The 17,038-nt window shown below is 39.8% G+C and overlaps 1 long non-coding RNA gene across 1 annotated transcript; it reads left to right on the top strand.

Moving 5' to 3' along the window:
• Nucleotides 1–916: 916 nt before the first annotated feature.
• Nucleotides 917–8,704, top strand: LOC124909390 (uncharacterized). The gene is made up of 2 exons (XR_007095950.1): nt 917–1,004; nt 8,164–8,704. It is a non-coding gene; the product is annotated as an uncharacterized LOC124909390 (long non-coding RNA).
• Nucleotides 8,705–17,038: the final 8,334 nt, after the last annotated feature.

Raw genomic sequence — 17,038 nt, 5'->3', positions numbered from 1 at the left:
AAAAAACCAGTAGACAACTTTACACTTGATAAATTGCTAAAAAATAACATAAATACAACAATAAATATGGCACTCCGCCTGGAAAAAGACCTAGGGTTTGCCTATGGAAGTGAGGTGGAAAGGGTTGCAACTTGCCAGCTACTGTGAAGTGGCAGGAGCTGGTTATCTGGAATCCTAGGGAAAGTTGTAGCACCAGTTGAGGATGGCGTGGCTCATAACACACATCAACCATGTTGGAACAAACGTGCATTGTAGCAGAATCAGATGTGCTTATCCTTGCTCTGCCTCAGTTCTCTCATCTGTAAATAAGAATGATCGTGGCACCTGCCTTGTAGGGTTGTTATAATCATGATTATACTAGATGGTTCCAGGTAAAGTGTTTAGCACTGGGTCTGGCATATAGGTTTGGTGTCTTTCCCCTGGGCATTTATCATTCCATCTTATGTTAAATTTCACTTAAAGAATTTTACTAGAGGGCTGGGTGTGACGGTTCACACCTGTAATCCCAGCACTTTGGGAGGCTGAGGCAGGTGGATTACTTGAGGTCAGGAGTTCGAGACCAGCCTGGCCAACATGGTGAAACCTGTCTCTGCTAAAAATACAAAATTTAGCTGGGTGTAGTGGCAGGTGCCTGTAGTCCCAGCTACTCAGGAGGCTGAGGCAATAGAGAATCTCTTGAACCCAGGAGGCGGAGGTTGCAGTGAGCTGAGATCGCGCCACTGCACTCCAGCCTGAGTGACAGAGCGAGACTCTGTCTCAATTTTTTTTTTTTTACTAGAGGATAAGTGTTACTTCTTGGTGAGCAAGGAATTCAACTTGTTGCGCAGAGCCTGACAAGGGCTCACAAACCTACACAGTCATGATACCTATGCAGGGTCTCCTACTCCTGTTTCTCAAACAGGCCTGAGAGGGGAGGCTGAAGACCATTTCTTCCTGGGGAGGAGGCAGGAAGGAGAAATGGCAGCCATGGCTCCCTAGACTCAAGGAAGAGACGAGGACCACGGGTAAGTGTTCCCAGCCCACCAAGAGAGTAGTTCTATATTAGCCATCGCCTCCGTTCCCACTGTTCCTGCGCATGGTGCTGGAGTTGAGTCATATAACCTCTCATTAGCTGTAATCCACTTCCTGGTGACTCTCCAAACTGAACCTGAATTCCAGAGATTTCCCTATCAGTTATCACAGTTGGCCCAGCCTGCCCTGAAACCCAGATAGGTAATTTCATCTTTCATCTGTCCTCCTTCCTGAGTGTCTGCAGACAACTGGCTAAGAACAGATATGAGGGGGCCAGGGCATGACTCACAGGGTTTTGTTGGCTGAGCTAGAGAACAAAGGAGACCGGCTTGTGTGAGGAACATGAGAGTTGTTTGCAGGACACTCCTGAGGCATCATTGCAGGGGGCTGTGTGGGCTTCCCTGGTGTGGTTTGCTTCCAGCTAAATCTCCTGCAAGCTCCTGAGTCATATACTCCTGAGTCTGTATGTTTCTTCTCCATGGGTTTCTACTCCAACCTGTGTGCTTGGAGGGTACAGTGCTGCCTCCTCCTTAGCCTCCATCCCTGGAATGCCTCATTTTACAGGAGATACCCCACTCTCCTTCCAAGAGTGACCTCAACCCCTATACCTCCATTGCCACCTTCTATTGTCACTCCTGGCTCTGAATTCATCCCTTGTACCCTTACCAATAGCCCCTTGACACTTCATCATGTATGTCTCTGGGACCCGAAGTTCTTTGATCATTGTCTTTTATTGTAACCCCACCTCCAATCATCCAACTAAGAATAGAAGGGTGGTGTGGTTAAGAGCACAGTCTTTGGAGGCAGACAAATCTAGGCTGGAATTCTGCCTTTTCTGCTTATAAGGGGAAAGACACTTCACTTCTCTAAGAATTAACTTTCTTATCTGCAAAATGGGAATAGTGGTGCCTGCCTCCTTGGGGTTTCTGAGGATTAAATGAGTAATGTCTGTGAAATACACAGAATAGCACCTGACAGATTAAATACTCTATTAATGTAGCTGTTGTTATAGTTAAGATGCTTAACTTCTTATGAACAGTGGCAGTGGCATTGCAGAGCTAAATCTACACAGTAGGAAATTTACAAATATTTATCCAATGAATGAATTATCACTCATCATTAATGTTGAGTGTTCAGTCCGTATATTTTATATGAATGATGCATTCATTCCATACATTTTTTAACAAACCATACTTACATTTGCCTTTTATTTTTTATTTTTTAATTTCAATAAATTTATGGGGTATAAGTACACTTTTGTTACTTGCATAGATTGCATAGTGGTGAAATCAACACTTTTATAAAGAGTATCCATCACTCGAATAACTTACATTGTATTCGTTAAATAATTTTTCATCATCCACTCCCTCACCCTTCTGAGTCTCCATTGCCTATCATTCCACATTCTACATCTACATGTATACATTATTTAGCTTCCACTTATAAGTAAGAACAGGTGATATTTGTCTATCTGTGTTCGACTTGTTTCACTTAGATAATTACCTCCAGGTCCATCCATGATTCTGCAAAGACATGATTTCATTCTTTTCTACAGCTGAAGAGTATTCCATAGCGTGTGTGTATATAGATAGATAGATAGATAGATAGATAGATAGATAGATAGATACATAGATAGTCATTGCCCCCTGGAGTTTCAAATCCAACAGAAGAAATATAATTCAGGGAATTTCACATTCTTGACTTTTTCCCCTGTGCAATTGTCTCCTCATGGAATTTTGGCACACATTTACTTAAAAATACACACATACACACACACACAGTATTTGAGCACATCGGGGAATAAAATATAGAACTTGTCTAGCAAAATGATTATATATATATATATATACACACACACACACACACATGCCCATCCCCACCCCCTATTTATGTATATATATACACACACACCACATTTTCTTTATCCAATTATCCATTGATAGACAATAAGGTTGGTTCCATATTGCAGCACTTAGTGCTGTAACAAATATATGTAAGTATCTTTTGAATATAATAATTTTTTCCTTTGGATAGATGCCCAGCAGTGGGATTGCTGGATCAAATAATAGTTCTACATTCTTAGAGATCATTTAATATGTGCCAGACTCGAGAAGGGAAAGAGGATATAGGAGTAAAGAGGATAGATAGTCATTGCCCCCTGGAGTTTCAAATCCAGCAGAAGAAATATAATTCAGGGAATTTCACATTCTTGACTTTTTTCCCCTGCGCAATTGTCTCCTCATGGAATTTTGGCACAAATTTACTTAAACACACACACACACACACACACACACACACATAGTATTTGAGCATATCAGGGAATAAAATATATAACTTGTCTAGCAAAATGATAAGTGACATAGTCAAAATATTGATGAACTAACAGGCGAATGGCAAATGCCAAAGCCCTGAAATCAATTAGGCAGCATCACTAAATGTCAGCTACCAGAATAATTCCACCCCTTGTGGCCTGCCTGGTTTTCATGAGGTTTGTGGTCTGCAGGATTATAAGGTTGGATTTAGAGGCTGCCTTATCATTTTGACTGGATTCCCCATTTAATGAAAAAGGCCTAGTCACATTCAGGAAATATTAGCGAATGGTTTTTAAGATGAAGGAATTAGCTTAATTGGTTGAATACACATTAGACGGAGCAGTGTTTCTGAAAGTATGGATTCCAGGGGACAGCATCCAGTATTGTTTTGGTTTTGTTTTGTTTTTAACAGGTATCTCCAGTCGATTCTGCACAGGTAGTATACACAGAGTATAGTTTGAGAAATACTGCTTTAGAAAAGGTAGATGGATTTAATTCCTGAAAGTCATAAAAATATGGTCAAAATGGGTGTGAGCAACACCATTAGACAATCTGAATGAGAGTGGGTGTAAATTTGTACAGTGAGAATTACATCTAGGTGGAGAAATGACTTGGAAGCTTGAGTTGCAGTCTGGATTGCTCCACATTTACATTTTCATACATCCCAGAAGTATGGAATCCATTTCCTCAAACTTTAAGCTTTATTAACTCAACCTTGGTCTCACAGTGCCTGCATAGCACTTTGGAGATAGAAAATACTAAAAAGACTTCTTTGAAGGGCTTTTCTGTTGATTTGGGAGAATAAGGTATGTTCATAAGGCTTTTAAATATCAGCATGGGTTAGCAGATAATTAGTTGTTGATATGAACCCTAGAAATAATCAATGTAATGGGAATTCAGAAGTAGGAGAGTTCTGGTCCAGCCAGCAGGCTAAAGGCAGGCCACGTTGAAGGTGAGGGACTGTATGAGCTCTATAAGGGATAAAGGGTGTATCCGGGAAGAAAGTGACACTAGGGCATCCCTTGTGGGGACCACAGCACAAATTCTGTGGGAAAGCGTTGAAGAGTGTTGGCTTGATATTTCTATCAGACATTGGTTCTCAGAAGGAATATGACTATCAGAAGGCTTTTCAGAAATCTTTGGGAGTGATTTAGGTTGTCACAACTGGGGAGATACTACTGTCATTTAATGAGTCAAGTCTGGAAGTTGCAGGCATCCTACAATATGTGAAGTAGACACAGAAAATAGTAAATTTTCCTGAGTCCTGGATGCCTTTCAGATGTCCTGCTGGACATTCATGTGGTTGAAAACCTGCATATATTTATTTTATGTATAGCCTAGACTACATGATTGATAGATATAGATATAGATATATAGACAATGCTTTAGTATTATTATATTTTCCAGGACTGCAACTACAGAGGATAGGTTGTAGTTGACTACCTTCAGAGTTTTACCAAGCATTGTTCACCATTTCAGAATATCATATCACCAATCAACAATGACAGCACCACTCATGGAAATTTCACTTTGAGAACTGGTTTAAGTTTGTAGCTGTCAGACTCACGGTAATTCTGTGCATATATATATGATTGTCCTTAGTTCTTATTTCAAACCGTCAAATGGAAAGTGAAGGAATGAACAATATTCTGTGTGTATTCTAACTTTTCAAAAATCAACAATGATTTTATATAAATGGATGCACAGATCAGTATGTTTCTAGTGTAATCATGCCTGAGCACTTATATTTTAAAATGTTATTTTAAGTTAATTTTCTCTATTTCTCCTCTATCTTGTAGTGAAGTCATCATGTTAATGTTTTTCAAACTGTTGGCTATGTTGTGAAATATTCATAATAGAAAGGAGATGTAGGGCTTGATAAGCATTAAAAACTCCTGGATTAAGAAATCAAATCTGAGAATTACAAGGTCATATTTGCTTAAATTCACTGTAGTGGGGGCTGGGATGGGCATGGAGTGGGGTGAACTTCTGTTCAGCTTTACATCTTTCTCCCTAGTGCTGCGATAACTGGTTTGCTCAAATACATCAAGTTTTAGTAATTTATTTTAGCAAGAGGTAGGTAGATAGGCTTTTTATATTTTTTCAATATTTAAATTATTTATATCTGGTGTGGATGTTTATAGAATAACGGATTTGGCCAAGGAAATGGCTGTTGTATGGCTTCTTTATCAGCGTCTTCAGTGCATCAAAATGCTTTCCTTCTGTTTAAATACCATAGGGGTCTCTGCTGAGAAGTATTATCTGAATAAGCCATTTTTGTGATAAGAACACACCCCAACAGCCTTTCCCCCAGTTCAGCTTATGTTCTTAAGCTCTGCAGAGAAGTTTCTCTTTTTTCTTTTTACAAACTAAGCAACGCTTTTCCCCTGAGAGATGGCTGAGGCTTCCCAGAACTCCATGCTTCTCCAGAAACTATCCCTCAGGCAAGTCTGAGGTCCACTTAAACCAAACTTTGGCAAGAGGGAGAAATCTCATGTTTCCGCAAAGATAAAATGAAGTGGCAAGGCATGGGGGTAAAGTCTCCAATAGTTGGAGCTAGAAATTGTTCATAATTATGATGAGAGATTTGGTGTCAGGATAAATCTTAAGCCTGCTTTCCCAATATTCAAGGATGGCAGGATGTATCACAGGGTCTTGTAAGATTTTACCAGGAGAAAATAAATGTGTTGCTTTCACTTAGAAAACAAGTATATTTTATGTGTCGCGTTAATAAACAAGAGAATAAAGCCATAAAAGCAATAGTGATCAGTTACAGAAACACGAGCTGCATATTGCTGGTTAGGTGTTTAATAAAAAGATCATGTAGACCAAGGCTCAAAGATCCCCCAGTCATTGTTTAAGATGGATTTCCATGCTGAGGGCTAAATAACCAGGAAACAGTAAATGTGATGCTCATTTTATGTTGAGATTGCATCCAGATGCCATCTTTGCTGTTCTTGGGCCTGACATACCCATTAAAGGGAGGTTGTTTAGACCACAAATGGTATGCTAAATAAATAAAGCTTATTGGTGGTAAGGATGCAGCTTTGATTACTCTGAAAATTAGGTATTTTCACCAAGAAAATGCTTTTTGTAATTCGATATACTCAAGAATTTTGATCTAAGAATCATTTCAGGATGGTTGCCTGCTGCTGAGTACATCAAATAGACTGACTTTGGTTTGGGTTTTGGTTTTCTAGGAAGCTGTTTTGGCATCAGGTAGACGTTGGCTAAAACTGTCAACTGGGCAATATTCAACAGTATGGTCATGTTTAAGAGCTTGGGCTTTGCAGGCTAATAGATTTGGGTTTAAAACCCCAGACTCTACTCATGAACTAGGGGTCTTCTGGAAAGTTACTATAAAAGCAACAACAATGACAACATCGTATTATCAACAATTTTAAACATAAACAAAATTAGAGAAAATAACTCAGTGATCTTCTGTGTACCCATCACTAGCTTCAAAAATTGTCAATATTTGGAGCAAGTTACTTAACCATGCTCTCATCAGTAAAATGGAATTCACAATAATTCTCACATTCAAGAGTTCGTGTAGGGATTATAAAAGCAATAGTTTATATATATTACCTTTAAGCACAGAGGCTGAATATAATAAGTGCTCTCAAAAGTTTATTCCATTTCGAACTAGGAATACCTTTGGTTTAAAGACACAGCAACCTATGCTGAATGAAAAGTAGGATCTTTGTGGTTTTACTGGCCTTTAGAATTTCACAAAGAATATAGCCCCTTAGCATAAAATGATTAGATCTTATATTTAAAAAATAACCCCCCAGATGGTACAGGGATCTGATGCTGAGCTAGCCAAGGCTGTGTCTCAGCAAAAATTCGAAATGACCCATGAAAGGCAAAAACTTCCTTAAAGAAGATGATACTGTCCTTGAAAAAAAAATTGTCACAAAAAAACAAAAAGTCTGTGGCTAGAAAATCTTACCCCAATGAAGGAATATCCTTTCTGCTCAGGTCTACAGGCCACCAGTGCTATAGATGACCTCAGAGTAAATAGCAGTCCTGCCATTTCCTTTTGGCTATTCTCAGAGGCCTTTATGGCAGTGAGGGAGAGCATTCTTTTGGTGCGAGAAATAGTTACTGCTCTTGGGTTAGACTAAGAAAGTTTTGCTGAGCTTCAGGATCCAGAGTGATTAATTTACAGAAAGCGCTCAAGGGTCTATCAGATGGGGCTTCCCTGCCAGGAGAGGTGTTGGGGAAGGCTAGTTTTCTAGGATGAAAACTGAGCTGCTTTGCTGAGTAGATCAGAAAAGGGGGTACGCTGGGGGGAGAAATGTAGTTTTAACCCTGATTTGTAGCGATTATTATGACCATCAAAGAGTCCTTTGGTAGAGCAAATAAGGATATAGAATTTTAAAAATCTACAAATTGGGATATTTATTTTGGAGCCAAAAGCAATTTAATTTTAAAATGGGAGCAACACCATAGAAAAAATACTTTTAGGTCTTATCCTTCCACTTATACTGGTGTGACCTTGAACAAATTCCTTAACCTATCCTATCTTCAGTTTCCTTGTCTACAAAATGGAGATTATAATAGTCTTCCTACCCTGAGGTTTTTGCCAGGGAGAAAGAGATAACACAGGTAAATACATGTGCATTGCTTTTAAATACTAGGTAAAGACTCATAACATCACCATCACAATCATCATCGTGGTCATCATTAGTATTATTACTATTTTGGTGAGTTGATCAATGATGCTACTGGATGGAGAACTTTTTCTGAATGGCATTTCTCTTGCCGTTGGCTTGGACATAGGCAGGTAAACTCAATGTGGAAATTTTGATGCAGTAATTATTTGTTTTTCTTGTAGCAAATTGCAGAGAATCCATACATGTAAGGACCGTGCACTAACTGATTGTGCCAGTGGAGCTCCATGGAACCCATACATAAAGCACACCTCTTCTCTTCTCCTTGGCATCCAACCTGCTGGCTCTACAACTACTTTCAACAATGAGTCAAGGCTGTACCTGGCAAGATGGAAATTCAAAATCAACAACGAAAGCTATTTATTTTGGTTTTGATCCTAGCCCTGGGCCTTTTACTAAGTATTCAGAACTGATTTAATGAATGAAAAAATGAATGAATGGTATACATTTCCATTGTCTATTCTGCTTCTTTTCCCTAGGGAACTGTGTTAGGCCATGATTTCCTTGCTGTTTTTTTCATATGGTTGTTTTATTTGCACAACGCTAAATTAAATCAACTAGTTCCATTCATGTATTTCTCTCTTGTTTTATAACCACCTGATTTCTTATTTTTATTTAAACAGAAATTAAATAGTAAAAACTTTGGAGTATTTAATTTTACTTAATTAAAAATTGTTTTAAAAAATAAACGTTTACCTGAAATGAGTATTGAATTTTGAAAAGCACCTTCAACAAACCCCTTTTTGGATGAGTTCAATAATGGTTGAAGAGGGCACAATTCATGGTGAATGAATTTGAAAGTGTAATAGATTTAAAAGTGTTTTAAAGGGGCTAATATAGAAAAGCCCAAACAAATTATTCAGGATTTAAGGATATTATTTAGAAAACATGCTTTCTTGTATGACTGTTTCTTATTCTCCTTTGTGGTTGCTTGAGCACCACTAGAGTGACTCTGTTATAATGGAATTGTTTAACACAAAGTATGCTGAGCAGTTAATACTTTACAACTATATTTTAAGGTATGTATTGTTATGCTTTTTAAATCATAAATTAAAAAATAAGCCTCAGAGATATTGAGTATCTTGTCCAAGTTTGCACCAGTGGAAATTTACAAATCCAAGGTTTGTGTCCTGATTTAACCGGCTCTGAATTCCAGATTCTAAATTTGCTGTCGAGCAGAGAGTGATTTGCACTAGAAAAGTAAATTGTTTTCCCACTTAGGCAGACTTCTCACATAAGTAAAGGACTTGTGAGATCTTTAACTTTACATTGCCTTTACATTACTCTGGTCTAGTCAGTAAATAGTCCCATGATTGCCCATTCTGCAAAGTTAATTGGCCAGTGAGAGAAATAAGATCAGGACCTACAGCCTCATATTCTTGAGATCTCCTTTAGTGACAAATCAGAGATGATATGTTTCTTGTTAAGAGCAGGTAAATTTTTGCAACTCTTCTGTGTGTTGAAACAAATAAAAAATAGATAAATTGTAATATTTAGTAAAAATATTCGTAGGCCATAATTCAAATTAGAGTTGCAGGAAGAGTAAGTGGGAGGTAAAAAAAAAAAAGGAGAGTGAACTTCTGATTCATTTGGCAGTGAATAGGGAGGGAAAATAACGTGTTTGGGCTATAACTGGGAGGGAAGGATATTGAAAATAATACTAAGTGAAGGTTGGAGATTAAACACTCTCTTCCCCCAATGTCAGTGGTGGCCTAGTCCCAACTTCTCCTCTGCTTCTTCACCAAATTACCTCTCACCATGGTTACCTCCACATTGCTAAACTCCCAACTTCTCCTCTCCTTCTTCACCAAATTACCTCTCACCATGGTTACCTCCACATTCCTAAACAGACATTCTTTAGTCTTCATCTTAGTTGTCATCTGAGCATCACTGGTACTATTGCCTACTGTTTCTTCCCTTTCCCTGATTTCTGGGCACAATTCTCTCTGTTTATTTTCCTAGTGTTCCTTGTCCTCCTTTGTAGGTTCTTTTTCTTTTACCCAGCCATTAGCTGTTGGAGGTCCTAGGCCCTCTCTTCTTACTCTAATTTCTCTACCCAGTGATCTCATCCACCCCTGTGGTTTCAAGTTGCATATATACTCAGATGACTCATGGTTTTATCTCCAGTCTTGATCTTGCCCTTAACTCCAGACCCATATATCAACTGTCTACTTACCATCTTTTGAATGCCTTGAAGGTACCTTGCGTTCAGCATGTCCAGGACTGAGCTCATGATCTTCTCTCCCAGGCCTGGTCCTCTTCCAGGGTCTCTCTCGCTGAACAACACCACTGTTCTGTCTACTTGCTCACGCAGAAGCCAAACAGCTAATCTCTCCCTTAACCCCCTTATTCATCACCAAGTTCTACTGATTTCACCGACTAAATCTCTCTTGAATCCACCTACCTCTGTCTACCTCCTTGGCCATCACCTTAGGCCATGCCACAGTGGTGTCTTTTCTGAGCACTGCAGCTTACCCTTGGGCTGATCTACCTGCATCCACCCTGGCCTCTCTACCATCTTGTCTCTACCCTGCATTTTTCAAAATGTAAATTGCATCATGTCACTCCCGAGCTTAGAATCCTCCCATTATTTTTCATTCTTCTTAGGACACAGTCAGAAATCGGCCCCATAGCTCACCAGGTGCTACCTAGTCTAGGGCAGTGGTTCTCAAAGTGTAGTCTTGGAATCCATCAGCATCACCCAGTAGTGTGTTTTGAAATTCAACATCTTACGTCTCACTTTAGATCTGCTGAGTCAGAAACTCTGGGGAAGGGGTCCAACAGATTGTGTTTTCACAAGCCTTCCAAGTGATTCTGATGTATATACTCAAGTCTGAAAACCACTGCTCTAGGGCCCACCTACCTTTCTGGCTATATACAGTCTCTTGCTCTCACGTTCCAGACTCTCATAGCTTGCTTTTATTCCCTCATCAAGCATACATTTCCTCCTACCACAGGGCCTTTGCACAGCTCTTCCTTTTTCCTTGAACACTTCTCCTTCTTCTCCTTCTCTGGTTAACATCTACTCCTCCCTCAGGTCTCAGCTCAATAAAGCTGCCTAGGACCAATTTCTCCTAATGATATATATTGCTCCTTTATAACACTTAAAACAGCTGTGTATTTGTCATTTTTGTGTGGTTATTGATTAACATCTATCTCCCCTACTATACTATAAACACCAAAAGAATTGAGATGGTATGTGTTTTTGTTTATTATCTGCACTATTTTGTTCTAGGATAGTAATAGTACATACTCAGATATTTGTTGAATGAATGAATGAATGAACCTTCCTGTATAGTCTCTGCATACTGTTTGAGAGCACAGGCATATTGGAATCCTCATGGGCAGCTCCCAGTCCCCTCATTTTGTAAAGTGGAGATACCTACCTCATAGACTGGTTGAGGCAATTATATGAGGTAATACATAAGCAAAACCTAGCACAGGGCCAGACACACAAGTCCTTCATAAATCTTAGCTCTGAGCATTATTATTATTATACTCTATTGTTATTATTTCAGTTTCCATACTCTCCCTCAATCATAATGGTTGAGTGTGGTTGAAACCAAACAGTATAATTCTTGGTAAATATGTACATTTTAAAATTATAAGATGAAAATAAATGGTTGTACATTTTCTCCATTTTTTAAAAAAATTATGTATCACCCAATGTATTTGCCCCAGAGAGCTCTTGTTAGCCCAGTCACTGGTTTCTAATGCCATTCGTTTATTAATTCAGTTATGACTATTAATAATTCAGTTATGATTTATTCAGTTATTAATGCAGTTATGACCAAGATGGGCAGGGATCCACATGAAGTTCACAGTCAAGTGCAGAATAAGATATTAATAGTCCAATGGGGAAATACTTCACCACAGTGCCAGTGAAAACGATACAGACAAATACAAGGTCCTATGTGTTTGTGAAACTGGAGGACCAATAGGCAAAGAGGGGATTTTCCACCTTGAGACCACCTTTGGCTTTCAGATAGAAGTCACCTGACATAAACCAAACTAACCAATTGGTGTTCATGGCAGCATGTGATGCAAACAATTAGGTGAAGTCGATGCGTTTCTCCCAATCTGAATCAAACTGGTCTCTGTATGTGTTAATTTGGTGTGTTCCTATGAACGAGGTTTCCATGAAAACTAGCTAAAAGGGGAACAGTGCTGAGAGCAGTGGCTCACACCTTTTATTAGACCATTTTCATGCTGCTGATAAAGACATATCCGAGACTGGGTAATTTATAAAGAAAAAGAGGTTTAATGGACTCACAGTTACACGTGGCTGGGGAAGCCTCACAATCATGGGAGAAGGTGAAAGGCATATCTTACATGGTGGCAGGCAAGAGAGAAGTGAGGCAAAAGGGGATTCCCCTTATAAAATCGTTGGATCTCATGAGACTTATTCACTACCACATGAATTCACTACCACACTTATTCACTACCACATGAACACTATGGGGGAAACTGCCCCCATGAATCAAGTATCTCCCACCAGGTCCCTCCTACAACACATGGGAATTATGGGAGCTACAATTCAAGATGAGATTTGGGTGGGGACACAGCCAAACCATATGACGCCTGTAATCCCAGCACTTTAAGAAGCCAAAGCAAGTGGATTACTTGAGCTCAGGAGTTTAGGCTTGGGAAAGGAGAAACCTCGTCTCCACAAAAAAAAATTACAAAAATTAGCTGGGCATGGTGGCACACACCTGTAGTCCCAGCTATTTGGGAGGCTGAGGTGGGAGGATTGTTTGAGCCCAAGAGGTTGAAACTGCAGTGAGCTATGGTTGTGCCACCGCACTCCAGCCTGGGTGACCAAACGAGACCCTGTCTCAAAAAAAAAAAAAAAAAAAAAAGGAAGTGGGGAGGAATACAAGGGAAAAACCAGGTGGGAAGCCTGCATTGTCAAGATGCCTCCCAGTTGCTCTCTATGCACACTTAGCATTTGAAAACTATTCCTTTCTAGGCCCTCTGCCTGATTTCCCTTTGGCTGGCTCTGATTTCTTTACCACTCTGAACACCTGGGGCCAAGGCTCTTTTTCATAGTAGTTTGAAAGCAATCCTTTCTCTTTCTTTTTACTCAGTTTGATCCAGGCCTTAATCTTTGAACAGCATCAAATATTCTTTGCCATTTGATAAAGCTGGGGTTGGAGGAATCCAGAGTTTTCAAAAGCAGGTTTTGGGTTACCATTGGAGATCCAGTGAGTCTTTCAGCAAGACTAACTCTAAATCATCCAGGCTCAATTAGTTCATTTCAAAGAAATACCCAGGTGTTGTTTGACCTTCAAACATATGGACTGCTGAAGTAAATGAAAGTCTTGCTTGTTCCCATAATGCCGAGGGAACTAGAAGGGGCAATTCTTTTTCATATTCTCTGAGTTTTGAGGAGGGATTATTAGGTTTGGGCTAAATGAATTATTTGCTTTAGTAATATTCTCAGCAGTGAGCTGCAGTTGCCTTTGCTGAGGGAAAAACCAGATGCGAGCTGTCACTAAGCACCACTAAAATAGGGAAAGGTATGGGCCACTATAGGTGGAGCCGGGGTTTTGAGATGCGGGGCCAGCAGACTAGTCTACGGTGAGAAGCAGTAAGGTAGGTGTAGGGCTGAGTGTAGTGTGAAGGTCTCAGTTACCTGACATCAGGAAAACGTTGGTCGTATGGAAACACAGTGGCTTTTTTTTTTTTTTTTTTTGGCTGTTTTCCTGTATTGGGAGTGGGTGCTGTCTTTTAAGACTGAGACTCCTGACTTGGTATGCGGAGGTGTTTTTTTGGTTTTTGTTCGGACTGTTCTATCCAGAATTGTTAGGGTTGTAGTGTAACAACCTATAGCTTTGTACGTTACATATCTTCTAAGAATTGGAGTTCTGTTAAAATAATTGTCCAGTGGCCAAGTGTATGTTTTTGGAGCGAGAAAGACCTGGTTTCAAATCATAATCCCTCCCGCTTATTAGCTGTTTGACAATAGGAAAGTTGCTTAACTTCTCTGAGGCCCAGTTTTCTCAGGTATAAAATAGTGCTGATAATATTTTAGCATTTTACAAAGTACATCTCAATGAAATTTTAATTTACATCCAATCAAAATGAGATTTAATTGTCAAATACATCTGGAAAACCCTTTAGACTGTTTTCCTCTATCTTAGATTTGATAATGCATATTTTCAGATTAAAGTCCCTGGGAACTTGTGCAGGAAATGAAACTGTTTAACTCCAAATGTGAAAATGTAGTTAAGATCAAGAGGCTTTTTCTTTTGTAGAAATACAAATGATCTCATAGCATGGTTGTAAGGGTTAAATAAAAGTTTAATATAAATGCTTTCCACGGTATCTGGGTCATAGTAATCAAAAGTAGCGAGAATTGTCAGTGTATAATTATTGAAGATTTTTGTCTTCAAAAACCGAAAACTAAATTTGATACACCTGGGTTTTTACTGCAGCCATTAACCATATCAGCATTTGCCAGTTGGAAGTTTACAGAATTCAGCTCTCACTGGTGGCTAATGGGATGGTTGTGATTTATTGAGTGCCTACTGTGTGTCAAGGAATCCATTAGGTACCTCGGTAGAGAGTCATCAATATATTTAATGGTCCCAACTACTCGACAAGCTAGATATTATTCTTTCATTCATAGATGTGGAAATTGAGACTCAAAAATAAGCGCACTGCCCAAGGCGGTGTAGACACTCAACGGTGGAGTTGGGAAATTAGCTTGATTTGTTTGGACCAAAGCCCTTGACTATTCTCAGCTGGGATTCTACAAATCCTGGAGGATCTGTGAGGGAGGCAGTGATCTGGAAGATACTCGCGAAAAGCGTAATTGAAATCAACCACTTGACCAACGTGAGGCAGCGCAGGACTAAATGTGTTGGGAAGGTCACACTTCAGCCATACCAAAAATGTTTCCTTTATGGAATTCAGCTTGTTCACTCATCCCAAAGACTTGCACACATCGTTCCCTTTGCCCAAAGCTTTCTCCCTGTGTTGTCTTTCTTGGCTCTCTCTCACTTATCCTTCAAGTCCTGGGACTGAGGTACTTCCTCCAGAAAGTCATTCCTAACTCTCCAAGTCACAGGCAATGCCTCTTCCATAGACTCCCTTAACACTCTGCACTTGCCTTGTCACGGCTCTTTCTCACTGTCATGGCTTTCACTTGTCCATCTTCCCAACAAACTGCGAGCAGGAATCAGGTCTCTGTCAGCATTGTGTCCCCAGCATATCACACATAGTACTGCATAGACATTTACTGATGAATGAATGGTGTTCATTCAAAACCTCTATGGGAAAATTTTTTATACCTTAGATTAATAAGAAGTGAAACAATAATTTGTTGAATAAATATCACCTATTTTGTATGCAAGAGCTTCAAAAACATGATTTAATGGAATTTTTGGCAATAGAATGTTGAAAATCCCTGCATTAAACAATGCCTGCTACTAAACTGTAAGGAAACCTTTGTACTACTGTGGAGATTGTTGAGACACGTGGCCTGTTTTGGCTGAGTCTGTAGAACAGTGCACAGTTTTCCAGGTTCAGAAGCTCATTTTCTAACAGGCCTCTGAGTTGGAGGTTGTAGAGGCATGCAGTGGCGTGATCTCGTCTCACTGCAACATCTACCTCCCAGGTTCAAGTGATTCTCATGTCTCAACCTCCCAAGTAGCTGGGATTACAGGTGCATGCCACCACACCTGGCTAATTTTTGTATTTTTAATAAAGACGGGGTTTCACCATGTTGGCCAGGCTGGTCTTAACTCCTGGCCTCAAGTGATCCATCCGCCTCGGCTTCCCAAAGCGCTGGGATTACAGGCATGAAGCACTGTGCCCGGCCTCTCATTCTTATAATACATTTTTAAATTCCTGGTTGTTATTCCCATTACAGCTGAGGAAGCATAGGCTTTGGGAAGTTTTGCAACTTGACAAAGACACACAGCTAGAGAGTGGTGGAGCGAGCATTCAAATCCAGGTCTGCCTGCCTCCGAAGTCCATTTTGCCCCACTTATGCTGCCCTGTCCTCTAAGATATGAGCTTTCTTCTCCATGGGAGTTACACTGACAAAGTAATTAGTACTGGATCTTGGTGAATAAGTTCCCTCTGGAAAATTGATCTTTGCAGCAGAAGGGTCCAGTGAATTTAAAGTAAAAATCAAGGCAAATGCTGCTTAAAAGCTCAGTATTCTCATCCTGTTTAGGCTCTTGTGTCATCTCCTCAATGTCAAAAATATTCTGACGGTGACAACAAGAAATATTTCTTAATGTCAGAACACCTATTTCCTTGGTTAATTCTGAATCTGCACTTCGCCTTTGAAATCTTATTCTCCTTAGGTTCCATTTTTTTTTTCTTGTTGATCGAGAGTACCGGATGTTAGGCTTATTCTAATTTGCCATTAGTTATGGTTTTGTATGCAGGGAATCACCCTGGTTTTAAAGGCCTGCCTATCTCAAAGGTTGATGGATTATTTCCTGCAAAGATTTCCATAGATGAATTCTTAGAAGCATTCGATTTTGATATTACCTACTTCATGGCATAGCTGGAAGGCAAAGGGAATGTGGGAGATTCCCTTGAGCACGTTCTCAAAAAGTGGCATATTTTCAATCATATATTATGGTAATATCTTGACATGTTAGTTGTTTCGGTTAAAATGAAAAGATGTTAGGGAAGCAACATGAAAGCAAAGGGCAAACCTGTTCTATATGTGGCGGAAACATCAATGAACAAATGATGGGATGTTAGAAAAGCTAACCAAAGCCTGTCATCATTTGTGATGCATGCGCCTCACCACAAAGGCCAAAGGCGTCCTTGCTCCCTGGTTGTGCCCCCTAGCTTCAGAACCTGACCATGCAGCCCATCTGCCCATGCAGCAGGCTGTGACTAACAGGCAGTAATGAGGATCAAGTGCTTGGCACGGGGCAGGGCACAGCACTACAGCACTAAGGGGAGATTTTTATTCTGTCCATTTCAATTCCTTGAGATGATCTATTCTTATTTGGCTTCTACGTTCTAAGGGTTTAATTGCGGGATTGAGTCTCCTTTTGATGATTCACA

This window comes from Homo sapiens, chromosome 3 (genome assembly GCF_000001405.40).
Source record: "Homo sapiens chromosome 3, GRCh38.p14 Primary Assembly".
NCBI lineage: Eukaryota > Metazoa > Chordata > Mammalia > Primates > Hominidae > Homo > Homo sapiens.
This window is presented reverse-complemented; position numbering and strand designations above follow the sequence as displayed.